This window comes from Homo sapiens, chromosome 7 (genome assembly GCF_000001405.40).
Source record: "Homo sapiens chromosome 7, GRCh38.p14 Primary Assembly".
Taxonomy (NCBI): Eukaryota; Metazoa; Chordata; class Mammalia; order Primates; family Hominidae; genus Homo; species Homo sapiens.
The window spans coordinates 32,236,526-32,259,623 of record NC_000007.14 but is presented as its reverse complement, the minus strand read 5'-3'; the positions used below and the strand labels follow the sequence as shown (position 1 = coordinate 32,259,623).

The 23,098-nt window shown below is 43.1% G+C and overlaps 1 protein-coding gene across 9 annotated transcripts in view; it reads left to right on the top strand.

Annotated features, from left to right (window-relative positions):
• Positions 1 to 23,098, top strand: part of PDE1C (phosphodiesterase 1C) — an 811,448-nt gene that overhangs the window by 168,601 nt on the left and 619,749 nt on the right. Inside the window, exon 1 of one of the 9 annotated variants that reach the window (XM_017012265.1) lies at positions 692 to 747. The exons of the other annotated variants lie outside the window; for them this stretch is intronic. Coding sequence (XP_016867754.1) covers positions 723 to 747 — 25 coding nt within the window. The 5' untranslated portion in view covers positions 692 to 722. Of the gene's footprint in view, positions 1 to 691; positions 748 to 23,098 lie in introns of those variants that run through there. 9 annotated transcript variants of the gene reach the window in all.

Here is a 23,098-nt window from a genome sequence, read left to right as displayed (position 1 = left end):
AAAATTTCAGCCCAGGGTAGTGAGAAACCCATGAGATTTTAAGCCAGAACTGGATTAGAGTCCCAGGAATGCCTCCTCATCCCAGATGAAGCCACAGAGGCTCTAAAGGGTTTGGGAACTTGCCCCAGCTCCCCCAGCTGGTGGGAGGCAGAGTCCAAATTTAATCCAGTTGCCCCACCTTCTTACTAGAGCAGAGACTTGCCGGGGCCCTGAGCACAGTGAGACATTTGTCCTGTACCTTTTGGGCACTTATTCAGCCATATTAGCATGTAAGTGGAAATTAAAGAAGAGCTGATGATGGAAGGGAGAGAGGAGAAGGAAGAAAAGAAGCTAGAGATAGAAAGCCTTGAGTTGGGGTCTCCGTGCTGCCCCTCCCCAACCTTGGCTCTTTCTTGCTCTCCATTCTGAGTATGGAAGAACAATTTATCAAAACTTATGTTTGGTAGGAGAAAAATGCTGACACCATCTCTTGTAGGTCTAGGGAGTTAGGAAACATACACCACGTGAAATGCCTAAAAATCAGGAATGTAAAAATGTCTTTCCAGTTAATAAACCTTTACTCATGTTCTACCATGTGCAATAACCCACCAATGTCCAAACCATGAAGTGATATGGGGGGACCCTACTGAGGACCTCCTCAGTCCTGGGCGCACCATGGACATTCCCTCTTTCAATCTTCCCAGCAGCTCCAAGAGGCAGATCCTATTGTTTCCAAGTCACACATGGGAAGACTGAGGCTCCAGGAGGGTGAGTGACTTGGGTCTTGCAGGCCTGGAAGGAGCTGGGCCTTTTGAAGGATTCCTTGAGGGTATGAAGAAAGATACCCTTGGGTAAAAGATACTTGGCTTGAGTAAAAAATCACAGAAGGCGGCAAGCTTAACCAAAATCAAGTTTCAGGAAGTTGGCTGCTGTTGCCTGCTGGGTTTCCTGGAGTTTCCATGTCTTAGCCAGTCCCTCTTTTTTCATTCATTGGCCTGGCTGTTTTGTTTTCTTTTTAACATGGTGATTCCTCAGGGACCCCATAGTCTTGAATTCCCATGGCTGGTACAGATTGTGCTGGGCATGTGCACAGCTTGTTAATGGAGAATTTGGCAGGGCGTGCCCTTGCCCTTGTCCCTCAGCACATCAGTCACCCCCACGTGCAGGGCCCAGCTCTCATGGGCAAGAAGGGAAGTGCATGGAATATGTGTTGGTGAGTGAGTCATTGTCTTTTTCCTGTATGGAAGATGCAAGTAATAGTCAACGCCAATATTGATACCAGATCCAATGCAGAGTTTCATCTCACAGCTTTGAATGCCTATAATGTGCTACACCTTTGGCTAGGATATAAGTTAATTCCGAGAAGTAGGTTTTATTATTCCCATCATATAATTGAAGACACATATAATCTAAGAGGTTAGGGAACTTACCCATGGTCCCCAGCTTGTGGGCAGCAGAGCCTAAATTCAAGTTCAGCTCCCCTGACTCTAAGTCAGTGTCCTTCTTAGAGCAGAAACCTGCCTTTGGCCCCAAGCGCAGTAAAGCATTTGTCTTGTACCTTTGGGGTACTATTCCATTCATCTGCTGCCCCTGGAAACTCTGCAGAGAAACCTGGTGTCTTTGAATTGGCCTGTTTGGCTCTTTGGAGATTATCCAATTTGCCTGAGCAGGTAGATGGATAGACAGCATGTAACCTGCTATGCCCATTTCCTTGGCTGCAGGACAGTCCCTGAGAGGGCTGGTCACTGCCTCTTTTGGACACATTGTCAGGAGTAATGAGGATATTTGGTTCTGCTCCCAGAGATAAAATGTGGCCATGCAAGTCAGAGAGCACCAGGCAGAGCCCTTGCTGGTGTCTGGTTGGCTGGGAGCAGCCCCCTCTTCTGGTGTTTAGCCTCACTAGGTTTGGACAATTGAAGTGATTGTGATCTTGAGTGGCTGCCTGCCGCCTAAGAGATAGCCACCACTTCTGTTTCATGATTGCTTAATAATTATAGTAGTAGTAGTAATAATAACAATAATAGCAATAATAATGGTAAACACTCAGAATAATTACAAGGTGCCAGGCATTGTTTTAAGCATTTTGTAAATATTAAGTCATTTAAATTTTCACAACAACATTTTAAAGTAGGTACAATCATTATCCACCCATTTTTATAGAGGATACTGAGGCACAAATAAGCCACATAATTTGGCCATGGTCAAACAGTAAATGAGGGAGCCAGGATTTGAATTCATGGAGTTGGTTCCTGGGACATCATTTAAACATCAGTTAGTCTTCATTGCGCCTTTGCTCTGTTCCAAGGACAGGCTTAGCTTTGGAATAGAGGTGAATAGAGATGAACCTGACGCAGGAAGCCAGGGCAATTTTTGGGCAGCACCACAGAAGTTGCCATTCCCCTTTCTCATTTGTTTTTTTTCTCCTTTCTCTGTCTAACTTCTTCAAAAATCTTATATTTACTTGTTCATCGTCTCAATCTTTCCTCATTTCTTGCACTGGTGTCTAGTCACTAATCATCAAACTTTGGTTGAGAGGCTTATCTGTGAGATCCTTGAGGTCAGAAACTGTGTGTCTGATAATCCTAGCAGCTGCCTGATGCATGAAATATGCTGGGCATATGCTTGTGGAATGCAGGGAGCAATGGATGGACAGATGGACTGATGAATTTCATCCCTGCTTCCCCGGGATCAACCTCAAAATGACCTTTTCTGGGGGCCTGCTCAAAGAAGGTAGAGACAAAACAAGAAGCTGAAACTAGGAGACTGGATTGGAAGTTGAAACAGTGGCACCCTATTATTGATTTGGAGTTCACAGAGCATTTTAATATAGCTTGTATTTAATCTTTATAATGATGCATATTGTAGGTAGAATAGATGTTATTGCCTCTGTCTTACAGATGAGGAAACTGGGGCCAACAGAAGAGGTGACTTGCCCAAGGCCACATTACTCTCTATTCAGTAATTCTCCCACTACTCCATGGGACTGATCAGACCCACAGCAGGGTGGGGGAACCTGGTGAACAGCTGAGAAATCCTGTGGCCAGATGAGGCTGAGTGGGCAACAGGAATCTGTTGGCTAGGCTGGTAGAGATGTTGGCAGAAGGAACTTGCTGCTTCTGGCGGAAAAACAGGCTCTCAGGGGAGCTGGCTGCCATTAGGCCCTTGCACTTATGCTTTGGAGGAAGGGGAGCTGGGGTGCGAATTCCAGGGCTTTGCCACCATACAACTGGCTCAGATGCCTGATTGCCTCCCTCTTGGGCCTACTACTCCAGTCACCTGATAGGACAGTGACACTTCCAGGGCTGCAGTGGGAGCCCCTGGTTTGTGGCTCCAAACAGGATGTTTATGCTAAACTTTTAGAAAACTCCATCAAACAAGCTGTTAATGTCATCTACGCACTTCAGAAAAAACTTCTGGGAGACATCTGTTTGCTAAAGTTCATATGTTCACATCCCCGAGGATTAATTTTTTTTGTGTGAAGCTTGCCTTAGGTGAAGTGGCAAAACACACTGGAACTAGTTCAGGCAATTCCTGTGAAATGCTTTCTGATTTCCTTCCCTGATCTCCTTGCCCTGTGTAACACTCTGCTTCAGTCTTTGAGCAGCTCTAACCTCCTGAATGGTTTCTCCACTTTTAAGCTTCATACTCTGCTCCCCCTGCACACAGTTGCTGCAGTGCTTTATCCAAAACACATGTGGGATTGTGTCACTTCTCTACTTAGACATTCGATGTGTCCTCTTTCCCTCATGAGGAATTTCTCACCATAGTCCACCAGCCCTTTCTGTATCTGCACAAGTATCTGCACCAGCCTCTGCCACTCCTGACCATGCATGCTTAACTCTGGGTACACCACAGGATGAGCTAGTAATGTCCAAGCTTGCCACCTATTGTTCTGCCTCTGTACTTTTCTTTCTATTTGGGGTGTCCTTTCTCTTCCTTCTATGTATTTTCAAGGCCCATCACAAATGTACCCTCCTTGGTGAAGCTTTCCAAACCTTTTGTTTCCTTGCATGCAGGACAAATATCCTTTTCTCTTTGGCTTCCATGACCTTTCGTAATATGTCTAATGTGATACTTAGTGCAGTGCATCGTAGTTGCTCCTGAGATATTCTCAGGGACAGAATTGGGGTCTGTTCAAATGTGTTTAGTCCCCAGTGCCCAATGTAAAACTATGGCTCCATCTAATGTTTCATGATTAAATGATCCTGAAGCCAGAGGCCAAGTGTTTCTGATGCGCTCTCAAGTTAAAAAGTTTGAGTGTGGCCTAGCCACATGCAAACTGAGGTCTATGCAAATCCAAAGCCCAGGCTCCTTCCCCTCCCCTGCGTCTGCTGCTCTCTCAGTGAGAGAGGGAAGGATGTGGGACAGGACCCCACTGGCAGAGAAATAAATCCAGGCGGTTTATCTTGGTGTCTCCCATCTGAGAGGCCTTGACTCCCATGAACTCATTAATGCTCTTAAGAGCTTTGCAAAGTGACGTCAGCCACCCTGGGTTCACGCGCTGGGCCCTTACTAGCCTCTGGGACCTCTTGTTATCAATGTGGGTGATTTCCAAAACAGAGACTTGGGTTTCTGAGCTCTTCTGGGAATACTTTGGCAATGGGGAAAGGTTCATGTTTCATCTAACTTAGGCTGGCTGCATTTGGCAGATTCCTAAGAAGAAAGGAAAAATGTTTGTTTGATTTTTTGCAAGTCAGATTTAAGGGCATGAACTGGACTTTCTGGGGCAGCCATTGTCTACTGAGTGAATTTGGGTGGGGTCTGGGGGAATTGGAAGAGGGGTGCTTGTTGGAAGCATAGAGTTGATTGCAGGGTCTTAGACCCCTGAGTAGTGCAGCCCTTCTTGGAGTGGAGTATAACTCCTTGGTAGCAGGGGTTTCTGAGATCTCCTCTGCCTTCTCCTCTCTCACTTGGGCATGTGTGTACACATTCATATACACACATGCATATACACATACATGACACACACAGACACACAAAAACATACACACTTACTCTGCATCGATTTCCCCAAGTTGGTGCTGTCTCTGATGAATAGTAGAGAAAATGTTATAATCTCTTGCTCTTCATTATCTACCTAGAAAACTGCATTTATTTATTGCTTTTGGAATATGATGACATCAGTGAAGGAAGATATCGGGCTTTCTGGCTACATTTTAAAGTTATGGAGGAAAAGGGAGAGGGTTGTTTTCCTGCTCTCTCAGGAGGTCTGATAGAGGAGAGTTGTGCTTTTTCCACCAGGGCCAACACACAAAGTTCTGTGCCTTCTCATGAATGTGCAGGGGACTTGTTTCCTGGACCTGTCAGTTCCAGTGAGGTCATAGTAGCAAGTCAAATGTCACTGGCCTTGGTCCTCACCTGCATAACATAGGACCTCCAGCTCCCTCAGAGTCTCATCCTGTTGTTTCTAGAGGTATCCATGGAGGAGTGTCATATGGACAGAACTACTCTTTTGTTCTCTTTCACCTGCAACAATGCGCCAACAATAACCTGTCCTCAAATGTACTCTTGGAGTCTAGCCCAGTCCAGATCCTCTGATACGCCCCGTATCGCCTCATTTCATTGTTTCAGTGGTGCATGAGACCCTTTGGGATTCACTGTCCCTGTCCTGCCTTCTTCCATTTCCCTCATTCCCATGCATTTTCTCAGTAGTGAGCTGCCTACGTTTTCCAAATGCGTCATGCTGATCCCTCTCCCTAGGATGGTGTTCTCAGGCTTATCTCCTAGGAAAATCCCTTTTCCTATTTTAAAAGTGAATCAGTCACTGATCTCTGATCACAGTCATTGATCTCTGATCAAATTCTCTGATCTCTGTCCTCTGACCTTAGAGTGGACACTCCCTTTCCTGGGCTCTGCTTATACGTGTGTGTCTGCGTATTGTGTTTGTTGTGCAGCAGCGCCCTTTATTGTTTATACATCATCTCCCCATGTCTGTAACCTCCATATCTAGCTCAATGCCTGGCACATTGCTTATGCCACAGAAATATTCATTTGAATTAGACTGAAATCATCTTGGCTTTCCCTGAATCCTCTCTTTCCCCAGCTGCATAAACTCAATTGTCTCCTAAAAGTAATCAGGACCCTTTGGAAATCCATCCATTTAAGAGAGATGAGAGAGCAGTGAAAAGAACAGGCTATTATAAGCAGATTCTCTTTCTACCTCTGGGGATTCATTCATTGTGAGACATTTGCTTGAAGAATGGCAGCTGTATTCTCTGGAAGGCGCGTAAGGCTGTTGGAGCATTGTGGGGTTTCGGTAAAGGCCAGTACAGCTGTGAATGGCATAGAAAGGCTATTTACAGAAGCAACAAAAAAGATCTTGTTATAAGGTCACCAATAAGGTGGTGTTTAATAAGGACTGCGTTTAAATAAGGCTTCAGGGAGTCTGGATTCACTGTTTTTGGAAATGTGAATTCTACTTCTGGGGATGACCTTAAATTTCCACTTTATAATAGATGTTGATGCCTACTTCATAGGTTGTCACGAGTATTAAATATTGTTCTTTCTAAGATACATGATCTCTCACTAAGACATCTCCAATAGCCCCAATTGCCCCTCCCACCCCAAATCCATTCTCCATTCAGCAGCCAGAATGATCTTTGAAAAACACAACTCTGAATTTGCTACACCTATGCTTAGAACCCTTTGATGGCTTCCTGTCCACTGTGCTACTCAAAGTATGGTCTCAAGAGCTGGTGTATGAGCTGTTTGTTATGGTTAGGCCATGAGAAGGGACACAAATAGAGGTCAAGCATTTAAAAACTTTTACAGTAACTGGTAGAATAATTTTATATGTGTTAAAACTAGTGGTAAAACATTTGGGCTCATATTTTGTATGTCTTTTAATTTCAATTTTCTAGTAACTCATTTTTATTGTATTTCACAAAAGTGTCAGTCCTTGACACGTTGCAAATACATAGTTTGAGCAGCACTGGGCTGCGAGGCCTGAGGACTCTGGCCCTGCCTTCCTGGATTGATTTTTTAGTTCTCTCCCACCCTCCTCTGTGCTGCAGCCACAGTAGCCTCCTCAAACATTCATCCTCCTTCCATGTGGACCTGTGCAAATGCTGTTCCCTCTGCCTGAATGCCTCCTCCTTGCCTGCCCTTGCTGTGGATTTAATTCTTGCTTGTCATTCAGGTCTCAGCTCACAGTTAGTTTCTCAAAAAAGTATCCCTTTCCCCCCAGACTAGACAGCTATATGCTCTCCTTGCACCTGGTTCTTCTCCTTCATAATATTTTACAAAATCATCAACAAATAATTAATTGTATGATTTGTTGTTAAAGCCCATCTTCCTACTAGAATATATGTTCCATGAGGGAAGATATTGTGACTGCCTTGTGGTTTGTGCCTTATAGTCCCGGGATCTTGTGCAGTGCTGGGCACAGAGCAGATGGTCAGGAAGTAGTTACTGAGTGAGCAAATGAAGACTGTTTTGGAAAATATGTTTGTGCATTGTTTATATACTTATATTAGGGAGGAGTTGACTAAAAGTAAGCAGGTCAGAGAGGAGGAGACATAAGTGATCTTGTAATATACAATTAGATTATTGGTCCCTGAATAATTGAAATTTGCATAAAATATTCATAACCACTAAGTATCCTGGCTCTATAGAGAGGTGCAAAATGGAACCCTCCCTGGAGATATTCAGGGTTGTCTATCAGTTGAGTCATCTTTACAACCACAGGGGGAGATCTGATTGATACTGTCAGACCAGATCTCACCTAAAAGGACCTCACTGTGGCTGGACCTGAGTGTGAGGAGGGGAATAGCAGGTGACACCCTGGGCTGATGGCCATGGCCAACCTTTGTCAGCAATCATAAGGAGTTTGGACTTAGCTTTAAAAGCAAGGGGGAGCTACAAAGGTTTAAGGGCAGACATGGTGGAAAATGGAGAATGGAGAAAGAGCAAAGGGTTATGAACATTTCAATGAGATGTTTATTATTCATGGATGATATTCAGTGTGTGTATTATTCTCCTCTGAGCCAGGCACTGTGCAGGTGCAGGGGTTGTGTGAGGGGGCAGGGTGGGGAGAGACAACTCTTGAGGCAGGAGAGCAGGTAGGAAATGGTGACAGCAATCCAGAGAAGATGCATGGTGGCTGGAACAGGGACTAGGATCATCCTGGAAGTGGTGGCTGGAAAGGCGCAGACAGGCTAGAGGCGGAATTGACAGGACTTGGTAATGGAATTGATTTGGAAGGCGAGGGAAAAGGAGTGAAGGATGACGAAGGTGCCTGGTCTGGAAAACCGGGTAGATGATGGTGCCCTTGCCTGAGTTGCAGCTCTAGGCCACTTATGCTATGTTTAGAGTGGGCCACCCCAGCTTCAAACGTGCAGGTCAAAGTAGGGTGGGAGAGGACATGACGGGCCTAGTCCTGGGCTGCCGGATTCAGGTCTAGGTCTGCCTGGACTGTGGACACCCCGGTGGCAGGTGAGCAAATGTGGGAGTGTATCCAGCTGGTAGAGGCTGGGGACAAAGGCCAGGGAACAGGGATAGTGTGACAGGGAATCTGTTGCCACAGTTTAAAGAAGTTAGCATTAGCCTTGTGTGTGTGTGCGCACGCGCGCTTGTGCTTGTGCACGCTCGCATGTGTGTGTTGATAATCCGTCATTTTCTTTATCTGCATCATGCTTCACTAGAGCTCCTGACTTAATCCGGCTTGACTTGTACAAATGTCGCCATCTGGCATTAGATCATGCGCCTTTTCAATCAAAAGAAGCAGAATGATTCCATTCAGAAATGCAAGCCCATGACAGGATGCCTTTGCGGTGTGTTACAGCCAAACCTGAACTTGTAATCAGGCTTTGAGGTATTTCCTTTTAGTAAAAAGCTTATTTGGGTTAACTATGAAACAGATTTCATGCAGGAAAAGGTCTCATAGTTTGAAAGGCTTTACTCTGCCCCGAATCATTAAAATGAACCCAAGGTCACTGGGTGTGCTTATGGTGGGGCTGTGCGCTGTTGCTTCTGAGCTGAGTGGTAAGAGGATGTGGCTACAGCATTATCAGTGATCGTCATAAAACATTTTATTTATAGTCCTCACGACATTAGAGAGACAGCACTGACATGTGATTTCATAGAAAGTGTATTAGGTAGGGAATTAGAGCCGACAGCAGGGTTTCTCAAAGTGTGGTTTGTGGACCACCTGGATCAGAATAGGCTGGGAAGGGAGCCAGGGGTCTGATTCAATTGGTCTGAGATGGACCCAATAAACTCCATTTTTAACAGGCTCCCTCCCCAGGTGATTCTGATGCGCACCTAATTTGAGAATTGCTCCTCAAAGCCCATGTTTTTGAGTCAGACAGACCTCTGGCTCGAGCTCTGCTGCCTAATGGCTGTGTGTGTGACCCAGGGTCTCCTTTTCCTGTCATTCTTATATGTGTCATCTATAAAATGGGGATAGTAGCACTGTCTACCCCAGAGGCAGGGGGATGTGAGGATTCAATAAAGTGCTTAACACAGTGCTTGGCAGGCAGGCAGTGTCTAATAAATGGGAGCTCTTGTGTCATTACTCAGCTTCTGACAGGCCAGCTGACCTAGGGCAGCTCATTTGTCTTAATACAGAGCTATAGATTGAAACATGCTCTGCATATGGTGGAGTGGCAGCCTGTGCACATTTGACTTAGGAAAAGTTAACTGTATATCCTGAATTTTTCTCTCTTTTATATAATTTAAAGGGAAATGCAAATTTAAAATGTATATTTTGTATTTATATTCTTTATTTGATACTCTACCTTATTGCATGGACTATACAATTGAATTAAGGGATTTTCAAAGGTAACCCTTGAGCACATGTGATTTTTGCCTCGTGAACTAACTTTAGAACCTCACCCCCACAGAAGGTATGACTCCACTATACTTAAGACGTGATGATTGACTTATTTTTGTGCCTTAATTTTTTTTATCTGCAAAATTGAAATAATGACATCTCCTGGGCTGTGGAGTGGATATGGGAGATAGCATTTGTGAAAGGCATTTAGTTCTTAAAAATAAAAAGTTTTAAATCAGTCCAAAGAAGAATTGACAAAAATAGTCGCCAGTGTGGTGGGATGGCTCTTCAAGATCAACTCTCAGAAATAGATTTTGGGTGTCCTTTGTCCTCTTGCTACAGGCATGAACAGCCTTTTTACTGAGTTAGCCTGGTGTTTAAGAGGGCATCTCCTCCCTCAGTGTCCCATGCAATCGCTGAGGGGACACCCTTGTTTCCAGCACTGATGCCATATCCCTGATCCAAGTGAAGGTTGGACCTTACTGCTCAGCAGATCCTCTAAGGAGCAGTTAGATGCATGCTTCTGCTTGCGTTTACCACCTTAAGGAAAAAACACCACCAAGTAGTTCTCCCAGACATATTTTGTAGCATTTAGAAGCACCCCCTGCAGTGACATGATCTAGGTTGTTTGGCTAAGAATTGATTGCAGAACCTTAGAATCTTGGAAAGGAATTTTTATGCCCTGATTGAACCCATTCCATAGCACCCTTCTTGTCCAGACTCTGCCTGAACACTGCCAGCTGTGAAGGGTACCTTGTTATGCCCCCAAGGCCACCCACTCCTTCCTGATACCTTTGACCATTGAACATCTTTATAGTGGTCCTGGATTTTGACTTCCAAGAGCTCCTGTTCACCAGCATCTTAGGGAATATGTCTAGTCCCTCTTCTACATGACAGCCCTTCATACACCTGAAGACTATGGACACTTCTCTTCCTTGCCATAAACAACTCCCCTGATACCCCTACCCAACATGTCTCATGTCTGGTCTTCCCATACACAGCAGCATTCACGTACAAAGCAAAAAACAAAAGGAAGCTCTTCACAAAGTCTTTTCTCTCCAGATGTTTTCTTTTCCAAGTGTTGCTGACATTTTTCCTCATCGGTGTGATTAGAAGTGAATTATAGTGCAGCATCTGGGTCAGAGAGCATTTGTTGCAACAGAGGGTCCTGGCATGTCTACTTGATGAGAGATAATAATGGTTCTTTGCAGAGTTTGTACTTTTCCTGTTATAAATCATACCCATCCTTCTAGGTCTCTGCAGAGCTCACCTCCTTGGGAGGACTTCTGTCAGTCTGTGTCCCCCTTGGTCACCCCTAGCTTTGTATTTGTGTAATTCAGTGGGTAGTCTTTCTTCCAAGTTCTGGGAAATCCCTTCTGGGACTGAATCAAGCTGCTATTTCAATTTTGCCTGCTACATTTTAATTCCCTATTTCATGTTTATCTCTTGAGTCCCCTGTTAGGTTATAAACCCATTCAAGGCTGGGAATCTGGCTTGTATACCTAAGTATTTATAATCCAGTGAATTTCACATTCTTGGTGCACGTTCTTTGAAGAGGATTTGGTCTTCTCCTCCACTCTAAATTCTTTCCCTCGAGGACTTCTCTCATTGCAATGAATTCTGTCTGGAGTCCCCCATTGTTTCTATCAAACTCTGAACTTATATATCCCACTGCCAACTGGACCTCTCTACTTAGATGCCCCACAGGGACCTCAAACCCAACAGGTATAATATTAAATAATTATCTTTACACCCTCATCTGAGCTGCCCAAGCCTACTCTGAATGGCAACATGTCTTACTTCAAACAGCCATCCTGTGCTCCTGCCCACATAGTATATTGTTACTTACTGAGTTGAGTCAATTTCACTTTGGAAATGTTTATGAAATCCATTCCTTCCTTTCCATCATTATTGCTATGCCTCCCTGGAGGCCCTCACTACTACCATAGTCTAGTACAGATGCCCATTGTACTAGTACTATGTACTAGTCTGTACATAGTACAGACTTATGATGGGGTTATGTCCTGATAAAACCATTGTAAGTTGAAAATGCATTTAATATATCTAACCTGCTCAACATCATAGCCTGGCCTACCTTGAACAGGTTCAGAACACTTATACTAGCATATAGTTGGGCAAAATCATCTAAACCGAAGCCTATTTTATAAAACAGTGTTGAGTATCTCATGTTATTTATTGAATACTGTACTAAAAGTGAGAAACAGAATGATTATATGGGTACTTGAAATACAGTTTCTATTAACTGCCTACACTTTTGCAGCATTGAAAAATTGTAAGTCGAACAATTGTAAGTTGAGCCATTATAAGTTGGGGACTGTCTCTACTCACCATGTCACTTGTCTTTTCTTCTTCCAGGCCAAGTTTTATCCCATTGCTTCAGTGGGCTTACTATGGCCCACCCATCACCTTTGGGATAAAATTAATTCATTGCCTTAACAAATGATTCTTGAGAGAATTTGCCATGTATCATTCCTTATCCTGGGCATTGAGGACACAGCAATGCTTAAGACAGGAGCCCTTACCCTCATACAGACAGACAATAAATAAAAAAATTTGAGTTTGGCCAAGAAGCCCTAGGCTCCCAAGACCTGGTCTGTGGCCACTGCTTCAATTCGCACAAAACCTCTCTAGTCATTTCCAAACATGCCATGTTCATGAACTCTTCTTGGCCTTTGCGTATGCTGACACCTTTCTTCATTTGTTAAAATCCTACTCCTCCTTTATAGGTTCAAGTGTCATCTTTTCTGTGGAGCCATTCTTGATTCTCCCAGTGTTATTCACTCCTTCTGGATTTCCACAGCACTAATTTATGTACTTACAGTATTGACCCTATAAGGTTATGATGATCTGTTAGCATGACTTCTCTCCCACTGAATGCTTCTTGAAGGCAGACTGTATTTTATTTATCCCTTCAGCCTCAGTGCATAGTATTGTGCTTGACACAGAGAAAGCACTCAATACATTTAATTCAAAATTATAGCCACCATTTATTGTCATCTTACATGCTATGTATTGTGATAGGATGTTATTAACATGAGTTATTTTGTTCTCATAACAGTCTTACAAGGTAGGTACTATTATTAAACCCATTTATATCCGAGGAAACATAGCTGAGGTCACACAGCTGATATTTAGGAGAGCCAGTGTTTGAACTTGTATCTGTTGGACTCCAGAGCCTCTGTTCTTCATGAACATGCTTCCCTGCTTGCAATAAATATTTTTTAAATGTGTCAGTAAAGAACATCATAGGGATTACATATTTCCATGTTCTCACATTCTGTGTAGGCTCACTTTTGCTAAGTGCTTCTTCTCTGTGTTCTAAGAAGATTCCAAATACATAAACATTGACCAGCCATGGCCAGTAGCTAGTTAGGGCTGTGTTCGCTGTGGCAGTGTCTGATCTTCTGGGCTTTCTTGAAATTACCTAGTTGGCTTGGGGGTAGGAGAATACACATCTGCCCCCTGCTACTGCCTCCTACCTGCCTCCAATGGGGCAGAGCTCTTCTTTGTCATAAGCATAAGAGTCAGTGCCTGATTGCTATGTTCTGCATGTTTATGGCCCCTCAAAATTCATACGTCGAATGGCCAGGAATGGTGGCTCACGCCTGTAATCCCAGCACTTTGGGGGGCCAAGGCAAGAGGATTGCTCGAGCCCAGGAATTTGAGACCAGCCTGGGAAACATAGTGAAACCTTGTTTCTACTAAAAATAAAAAAATTAGCTGGGAGTGGAGGTGTACATCTGTGGTCCCAGCTACTCAGGAGGCTGGGGCGTGAGGACTGCTTGAGTCCAGGAGTTCGAGGCTTCAGTGAGCTCTGATTGCACCACGTACTCCAATCTGGGTGACAGAGCAAGACTCTGTCTCAAAAAAAAAAAAAAAAAAAGAAAAGAAAAAGAAAATTCACTTATTGAAATCCTAACCAAGGTGTTACTATTAGAAGGTGGGGCCTTTGGGAGCTGACTGGATAAGTAGGGCAGAGTCCTTGTGGTTGAGATTAGTGACCTTACAAAAGAGACCCCAGAGCGCTTGCTAGTCCCTTCCACCATGTGAGGACACAGCAAGGAGGCACTGTCTGTAAACCAGAAAGCGGGCCCTCTCCAGATGCTGAATCTTTCAGTGCCTTGATTTTGGACTTCCCAGTATCCAGAACTATGAGAGATAAATCTCTGTTGTTTGTGAGACACCTAGTTTATGTTATTTTGTTAGAGCAACCCAGACAGACTAAGATGCTGATACACCTGGGAGAGAAAACATAGGGCCATAAACTGCTCAATAAGCTGTGATTGGCTTGTCTTAGGTCTTCTCTGGAGAGCAGAAGACAGGATAGTAGAGGAGGGGAAGGTGGCGAAAGGGGAAGCAGAACGAGGATTGGGCTGGAGAAGGGACAGAAAATGGCATTAGAGAGCAAAGCTCACAGAAATGAATTCTGCTTCTTTAGAAATTGCCTTAGGATCAGCTTTGGGCAATCAGTGAGCTAATTGTATTGCTTAGTTCTTTTATAGATGCAAGATATCTCAGGATTGGAGGGCATTTTAGGGGTTTTGTTGTTTCAGCTAAAGATAAACAAAGAGAAGGGCTGTCTGCCTGCTTGGGTTGATGGGATGGCAGTGCTAGGATAGGGTTACCATGGCTCCCACAAATTTATTTAGTTACAATGAGAAGTTGAACTTCCAAGGGGACTAGGACACTGTGTTGCTGTGGGTGCATTTTCTCCCTGGGAAGTGCCCTTGGCATAGGAAAGAGCATGGCTTTGGGGGTCCCTAAGACCTTGTCCTAGGTCCTACCCAACCACACACCGGTTATGAAGGCCTGGCCCAGTCACATCACCTCTCAGAACCTCAGCTTCCTCGTTTCTAAAACAAGGACCAATGTGCCTGCCTAGCTGGGCCTTCCCAGGGACTCTGGGAGCTGACACGGTTTGAGCAACCAGTACCGCTCTGATAGGCAGTGTGCTCACCAACTGTTTAGTGGGCAGCTGGGCAGGCTCTGGTGGCTCATGACACCCTCTGAGCCCCATCTTTGAGGACAACATGTAGGGCAGTGATGTCCAGGAGAATATCACTTTCATAGTTGTATGAGAAAAGTCACATATGTTTTAAAAACACCATGCATCAGGTTTCTTTACAGCGGAACATCACGAGCTTTTATTGTCAATGTGCATGGTATAGCTCTGTGATGGGAAGATGTGTGGAGGCTTTTTCAGCATTATCTGACAGGGTGTTCTTCCTTCATGGACCATCTCGTGGCACTGGTGTTGTACAGAACACTCATTGGAAAGCCGTGCCCAAGATTGAGAGAGCCATTGATTAGGTGGAAATAAGTACCCACAAAGGAAAAAGATCCAAAGTGAATTCCTTTTTCTATGTTCAATGTCAGGACTCACAGACGCCTCTTCTTAAAATGCTGCTTCAGTGCAGGACTGGCTAGGTCAGGGCAGTTGGTTCTGGAATACTGAGAGTGCTTGAAAGGCCAGCTTTCATGTGTGATTTTGGCTGCATGGCCTTTAGGTACACTGAGTTTTAAGAACCAGTCTGGGCTCTTGTCTTCTTTCTTGTTATCCAGCACCTACCAATTGTCCCAGGGCCAACAACTACATCCCCAACTACCTCTATCCTCCTTCCTTGGGCCCTATGTGGCCACTTTTACATGTCCCGCCCTCTTCTTTTCTACCATCTCTGTATGAAGGGAAAACACAGCATTGGTTCATTCATTCATTCCACAAATCAGGTGTGGGGTGCTGCCTTCATTTCTGGCTTTTAGACCTCTTCCTCCTACAATTCCATCATGTGTCAGAATGTAGAAGGAACTCACTGAGAGCAGCATGTGATGTTATCTTGTCTTGGTAGAGGAAGCGTATCTCATAGTAGCTTTTGTAAAATCTGTCTCCTTGGAAACTCACTGACATGTAAATCTTCATCTTGAAAGGCTTTTGAGATGTGCTTCATTCTTTCTACAGCCAGTTCAGAAACTCCTGTGTCTAAGTGTCCTTCGTATCAGGAACACCCACATTCTCTTGTCCTCTTACTGCACTGATTTGCTACTAAGGGCTCAACAGTCTTTGCTCTTCATAACTATCTTCAAATGCAGATATTATTATACTCCACCTTTACATGCAGAGAAACTAAATTTTGGAAATATGACTTCTCCCAGGAAAAGAGGCAGGATTTAAATCCAGGCCTGCCTGACCTACCTCTGACTGCTGGTCACTGGAAGGACTCTTCCAGATCCCACTATCACCACCTCCGACTCCAACCATGATGTTCCTGATATCTTGACTTTTCTCCAGGTCTGTGTGATGGAAGCACTACTTTGTTTTGTGATGTCTGGTGTGCAGTTTGAACCATTTTAAGTCTACCTAGATCCAGTCCTATGATAGGTGGGTTGAGGAGAGTATGAATAATTGAAAACCACAGATAATTTTCACCTCCCATTTTAACCATTGTCATCAGCTTCCTCCCTCTCACAAGCATCACCCCAAGCTGCTGATCTCTAAGGGCTCAAAGGACTAATTTGAGTGTTCCCCATTCTCCCTGCCTTGTAAACAGTATGAGCACCAGCCCAGGAAGACTGAAACCCCCTAGTTATGGAGGGACCTCTTCAGTGCTCATTTGTAGAAAGCTCTGTCTCTGAACCATTTTCCTAAATAATAAACCATGCATATGTTCATTGTGCAAGAGTGTGTAGTACCTGTGTGATCTAGGCAAGACCCACTCTCCCTCCTTACTCTCTCCCACTTACCATCCTAATCTGCCAAAGAGACTGTCTGTCCCTGGGTGTCCACCAGGAGTAACTCGTTTGTGTCAGGCACCCCAGCAAGGCCAAGGTCATCCATCACCATCTCCTGGACACGTGTCCCTTGTATCTCTTGTATCCTTGAATCTGACTGTACTGTATCCTTCAATCTCTCTCTTTTCCTTATTCCCCTAAACCTTCCACAGGGCCTTGTACAGCTCTCATTCTCTCATAGACAAAATCCCTTGTGTCCTCAACATTTTCACTGAATGGCCACTTTACCCTTTTGCTTCAACTAAAACTGGGTTGTCTTTGGAGGACACTATTTCCACTGGCAGTTTTATTCTCCCATGGCCCCCAAGCCCAGAGGCTCATAGATGAACTTCTCCCTTCTCATGGCTGCTTTGGGCCATTGTTCTTGCATCCTCCTTAGAAGCCCCCACAGCTCTTTTAAAGCTCCTGCCACCAGTCTCTGCCACCCACCACCCCTCTTTGTTATGGTTACCTATATGCTACCTCCAATTGTTCCTCGAAGACATTTGCACCCAGGCCACCATTTTTGTCATAGTTTTTGGTGATTTTGATTTACCAAAGAGACAATCCTCCCAATACCCTTCTCTTTTCATTAACCGACTTCCTCACCTCGAATGATCTTGCCTTCTTAGCTACTTGCTTCCATGGGCATACCCTAGGCTTTTACCAATAATTGCATCCCTTCCAATAACCCCATTAGCAACATCTCATTGACTACTCCTTTCTTTGCTCCCAGCTCATTCCTTCTAGATGCCCACCTTCAACAATTGTTCAACCCCCTGGGAACTCCGAATTCTTGAACCTATCTTCATTGTCCATCAGCCCTATCAGACTCTAAGTTCCCTCCTTACCCATTTTGTTTTCATGGGCTACCATTACAATCACTCCCTTGCATACCTTTTCAACTCTCTCTCCCCTCTATTTGCTTGGCAAACCCCAAATCCAGGTAAACCATGCTTACTGCCTCATTTAAAAATTCATGACCACAAATCTTATAATGGATCCTTGTGCTATCTGGCAAATCTTGGTCAGTGCATTCTCCCACTCTGAGAGACAACTATTTTATATTCTCAAAATTTGCCCACTCTTCCCATTCTCTGCTGATGACCTTGATTCTTATCCCCCTGAGAAGGTAGAAGCAATCAGAAGAGAACTTCCACATGCTCCCCTTGCTGTATCTCCCACCCTCCCTGCATCTGCACTCACATACTCTGCATTTGTTTCCATCACTTGCTGTGTCTACCCATCTCCTCTCTGTGGATACAGCAGATAGGCGGTGGCTGAGGCTAGCATCCTTACTGGTGAAATGGATCCTATCTTCTCTCACCTTCTCAGGAACTTTGCTTGCAAGTGCTGCCCCCCCACTGCATGACTGATTATTCATTTTCCACTGGATTATTCTTACCCACATGCATATATGCTCTAATGGCCTCCATTTTTAAAAAGAAACCATGTATTGACATAACCGTCTCCTCTAGTGATTGCCCCATTTCTTAGATATCTTTTGTAGAAAAATTTCTTAACATAATTTTTTTTTACATGGAGACTCAGTTTTCTCTCTTCAGTCTACACCAGTCCTGCACCCCACCACAACTCCAATGGCATTGCTTTTGTCAGGATCACCCAATACCTCCACATTGGCCAAATCCAGAAGCCATCATATTTGACACCCTGCAGCATTTGACATGGTTGGCCACTCCCTCCTTCTTAAAACATCTTCTTCACTTGGGTATGAGGTACAACTCTTGGTTCTTCTTCAGTGGAGGCTCCTTCTAGGTTGGCTGTGCTGCGTCAAGGTTAATTCCTTGGGTGGCTTCTCTATCTACATTTATGTTGTAAGTGAGCTAATTCAGTCCATGGCTTAAATACCAGCTGCAGGCTGACTACTGTAGCCTGAACTTTTCCCCTGAACTCCAGGCTCATGTATCTAATTGACTATTTGATGCCACCATTTGGAATTCTAATAGGACTCTCAGACAGAACATAGATAAACCAAATTGGTCCGGCCCTCTCCCCCAACTTGCCCTTCCTCCAGTCTTTTCTACTCAGATAATGGCATCTCCGTTCTTGCAGTTGCTCAGGCCAATGCTTTACAGTCATCCTTGACCTGCCTCTTTCCTCATACTACATATCCAACCCAACCACAGATTCTGTTGTCCCACCCATAATCCTGAAGTGGATCATGTCTCACCACCTTCAGCTCTCCTTTTTGACCAAATCGCTATTTTCTCTTGACTGAATCTTGTATTAGCCTCCCAAGTGGTCTCCCTGCTTCCACCCACCAATTCTTAAAGATTCTTGCCACAGCAGCCAGAATGACCCTTTAAAAACATGTCAGGTCATATCCCTGCTCTGCTCCAAACCCCCTGGTGGCCTTCTATGGTCTGGAGGACCCCATCTTGTCTTGTTCCTAGCTCTCTCATTCAGCTCCAGACACAAGAGTCCTCACCTTTTTTAGTAAAATTTTTGCCCCTTACTGTCTCTCCTCCCTCTCCTAAATCCCTGCATTCTTTTCACCAGCTCAGATGTTTCTGTGTCAGAGACTTTGTTGACCACACTGTTTAAAATAATACTTTCCTCCTCTCTATACCCTTAACCCTGCTTTATTTTTTATCATAGTAAACAACACCATCTGACATATTAAATATGTATCTGTTTGTTTTCTGCCTTTCCTCTTGTAAGCTCTGCAAAATCTGGGACTTACCATTTTGTTCACTGTTGAATCCCTAGCACATGGAAGAGTGCCTAGCATATAGTAAGCCCTCAGTTAATATTTGTAGAATGGAGGCATGTATGTCTTATATTTAATCCAGATAATCATTCATTACCATAAACTGTTCTTTAAAAATTATGAAATATTTTATATCCACAAAGTACAGTGAATAATATAATGTGCATACACCTACCCTCCACCCAGTTAAAGGAATAAAAGGTAACTCTCAGAATGGGCTAGCTTATGCTGCCGTAACAAACAGCTTTCACATGTAAGTGGCTTAAAACAAACAAACAACAAAAAATCCACACAAACAAACCTCTAACTCATGGTGCATGCCTATACATGGGGTGGCAGGGGGCCCAATTCAGGATCCAGGCTGACAGCATTGTTGTCAGTCACTGAGAGATTGTGACAAAAGGAAAGAGAGATGCTGAATTGCATGCTGGCTCTTAAAGGTTTCCATCTACAAGTGACATCTCTGCATACATTTCCTTGGCAGAAGCAAATCACATATACTTGCCTAGCTTAAAGGTGTGAGGAAGAACAATCCTACCATGTGCCTAAAAGGAGTGGAACCTAAATGTTTGTGAATGGTTCTAGTGATTGTCACAATTACAAATATAGTCAGAGCTCTCTGTGACCTACTTTCTGGTCTCATTTCTCTCCCTGTCCTCTAAAGAACATTGCTATACTTAATTTGATGCTATTTCATTGTGGTTTTAGTTTTTCATTTTCCTGATTATTAGTAAAGTAAAGTTGAGCATTTAAAAAAGCTTATTATCCATTTTAGTTTCCACTTTTGTGAGTTGCCTGTTTATCTACTTTATCTAATTTTAAAAAGTATTACATTATTTGTTGCTTTGTATTGACTTACAGGGTTCTTTTTGTATTTTGTATACTAGTATTTTGTTGGTTATAAATATATTCTTCTGCTCTCTGGTTTGTATTGCACTTTGTTTATGGATTTTCTTTTTTAAAGAAACAGAGTCTCCTTCTGTCTTTTGGGCTGGAGTGTAATAGTGCAATCATAGCTCATTGCAACCCAGAACTCCTAGGTTCAAGCAATCCTCTCATCTCAGCCTCCTGAGTAGCTAGTATGAGCACACACCATCACGCTTGGCTATATATATTTTTTTTCTAGAGACAGGGTCTCACTCTGTCACCCATATTAGAGTGCAGTGGCACAATCATGACTCACTGCAGACTCAACTCCTGAGCTGAGCACAAGCGATCCTTCCACCTCAGCCTTATGTTTTTAAAATGTTTTGTGAAGATAGGGTTTTGCTACATTGCTCAGGCTGGTCTCAAACCCCTGGCCTCAAGCAATTCTGCTGCCTTGGCCTCCCAAAGTGCTGGTATTACAGGCATGAGCTACTATGCCCAGTCTGCTTATCTTCTGAAACAGATGTTTTAAAACACTTTGTTGTTGCTTGTCAATCCTTTCCTTTATGGTCTGAGTCCTTTCATACCCTGAGGAAATAACATTTCCCAGTTCATGTTTAGGTCTTTATTCTTCCTGAATTGAAAGATGTAAATGGTGTGAATTAGGACTTTATTTTTCCCCAATATGGATAACTAACAGTTCCAGCATCTACTAATTTGTAACTTGTTCTATATCAAGTTTTCATATAGCAAACATTTTAGAACTCTATTTCATTCCATTAGTCTGTCTACTCCTGGGCCAATAAAAACATTGTCTTAATGGTTTCATAATTAAGTGCTAATATCTGATAGAATGAACATTATCCTTCCTCCCACCTCTGTTTTTCAAGATTGCTTTGGCTATATTTGGACCATTGTTCTGCCTTACAAATTTTAGAACAAGCTTGTCAAGTTCCATGAAAAACCTTTGTTGGAATTTTGATTTATTTATTCAACAGCAGTTATATCTCACTTATTATATGTCAAGCACTGTTCTAAATGCTTTACAAACACTTAGTTAAAATATATAACTTTATTTGGAGAGAACTGACATCTTTATGCTGTTGTCTTCCTATTCATGAAGAGGATCAATATCTGATCTTCTTTACTATCTTTTAATAAAATTTTATAAGTTTCTTCATAATGGTTTTGATGCATTAGCTAGATTTATTCCTTGGCACTTTATAAATTCGTATTGCCATTGTAGAAGATGTCATTTGAAAAGTTATACTTTCTAATTGTACATTGGTGGTGTAAAGGAACACAATATAGATTTTTGTTATTAGCCTTAGATCCAGCAACTTTGCTTAACTCTCTTATTAATTCTAATGATTTGTCTGTGGATTGTCTTGGATTTCCTAGGTAAAACTTATAACCTTTGGCCAGGTGTGGTGGTTTACGCCTGCAATCCCAGCACTTTGGGAGGCCGAGGTGGGCGGATCACCTGAGATCGGGAGTTCAAGACCAGCCTGACCAACATGGAGAAACCCCATCTCTACTAAAAATACAAAATTAGCCGGGCATGGTGGCACATGCCTGTAATCCCAGCTACTCAGGAGGCTGAGGCAGGAGAATTGCTTGAACCCAGGAGGCGGAGGCTGCAGTGAACCGAGATCATGCCATTGCACTACAGCCTGGGCAACAAGAGCGAGACTCTGTCTAAAAAAAAAAAAAAAAAAAAAAAAAGTATATATATATATATATATACACAGAGCCAAGTGCGGATAGTGGCTATCCTTATTTCATTATTGACCTTAAAGGGAATTCTCATGTTCACCTCTTAGAAGAATGCTTGGTAGGTGTCTAGTAGATTCTCTTGATCAGAAGTTTTCTCCTATTTTTAGTTTGCTGAGATTTTTTTTGCCTCAAATTTTATTTTTTAAATTAATGTAGAATTATTTTTGGCATACAGTTCAGTAAGTTTTAACATATTTAAATTCATATGTGTACCACCAGAGTAAGAGTATGGAGTAGTTCCATTACCCAAAAGAAACTCCATTGTGTAATCCTTTTATAATCAAACTCCCTCCCAATCCCTAGCCCGTGGCAACTACAGATCTGTTCTCTGACATTATAATTTTATTATTTTTAAGAATATTACATGAATAGCCGAGATGGGCGGATCACGAGGTCAGGAGATCGAGACCATCCTAGCTAACGCTGTGAAACCCTGTCTCTATTAAAAATACAAAAAAATTAGCCGGGCGTGGTGGTAGGCGCCTATAGTCCCGGATACTCAGGAGGCTGAGGCAGGAAAATGGCGTGAACCTGGGTGGTAGAACTTGCAGTGAGCCGAGATCGCGCCACTGCACTCCAGCCTGGGCGACAGAGCGAGACTCCATCTTAAAAAAAAAAAAAAAAAAAAAGAATATTACATGAATAGATTCATGCAGTATGTAACCTTTTGAGACTGACTTTTTTTTGACTCAGAATAATGCCTACAAGATCCATTCCAGATGTTGCATGTATCAGTAGCTTTCTCCTTTGTATGGCTGAGTAGTAGTATTCCACTGTATGGGTGTACCACAGTTTGTTTATCTATTCACCCACTGAAGGGCATTTGGGTTGTTTCCAGTTTTTGGTGATTATGAATAGAGCTGCCATAAACGTTTGTGTACAGCTTTTTGTGTGATTATAAATTTTCATTTCTTTAGGATAAAAACTTGTATTAGGTGGATGTTTAACTTTATAAGAAACTGTAAAGCTGTTTTCCAGAGTGGCTGTACTATTTTGCATTCTTAATAGCAGGAGTTGAGAATTCCAGTTGCTCAGTATTGTCACCAGCACTTGATATCATCAAAATTTTTAATCTTAGCCATCCTATATAGCCTGAGATACAGAGTAGTATCGCACGGTGGTTTTAATTGGCATTTCCTTAATAGATAATGATGTTTAACATCTTTTTATGTGCTTTTTTTGACTAC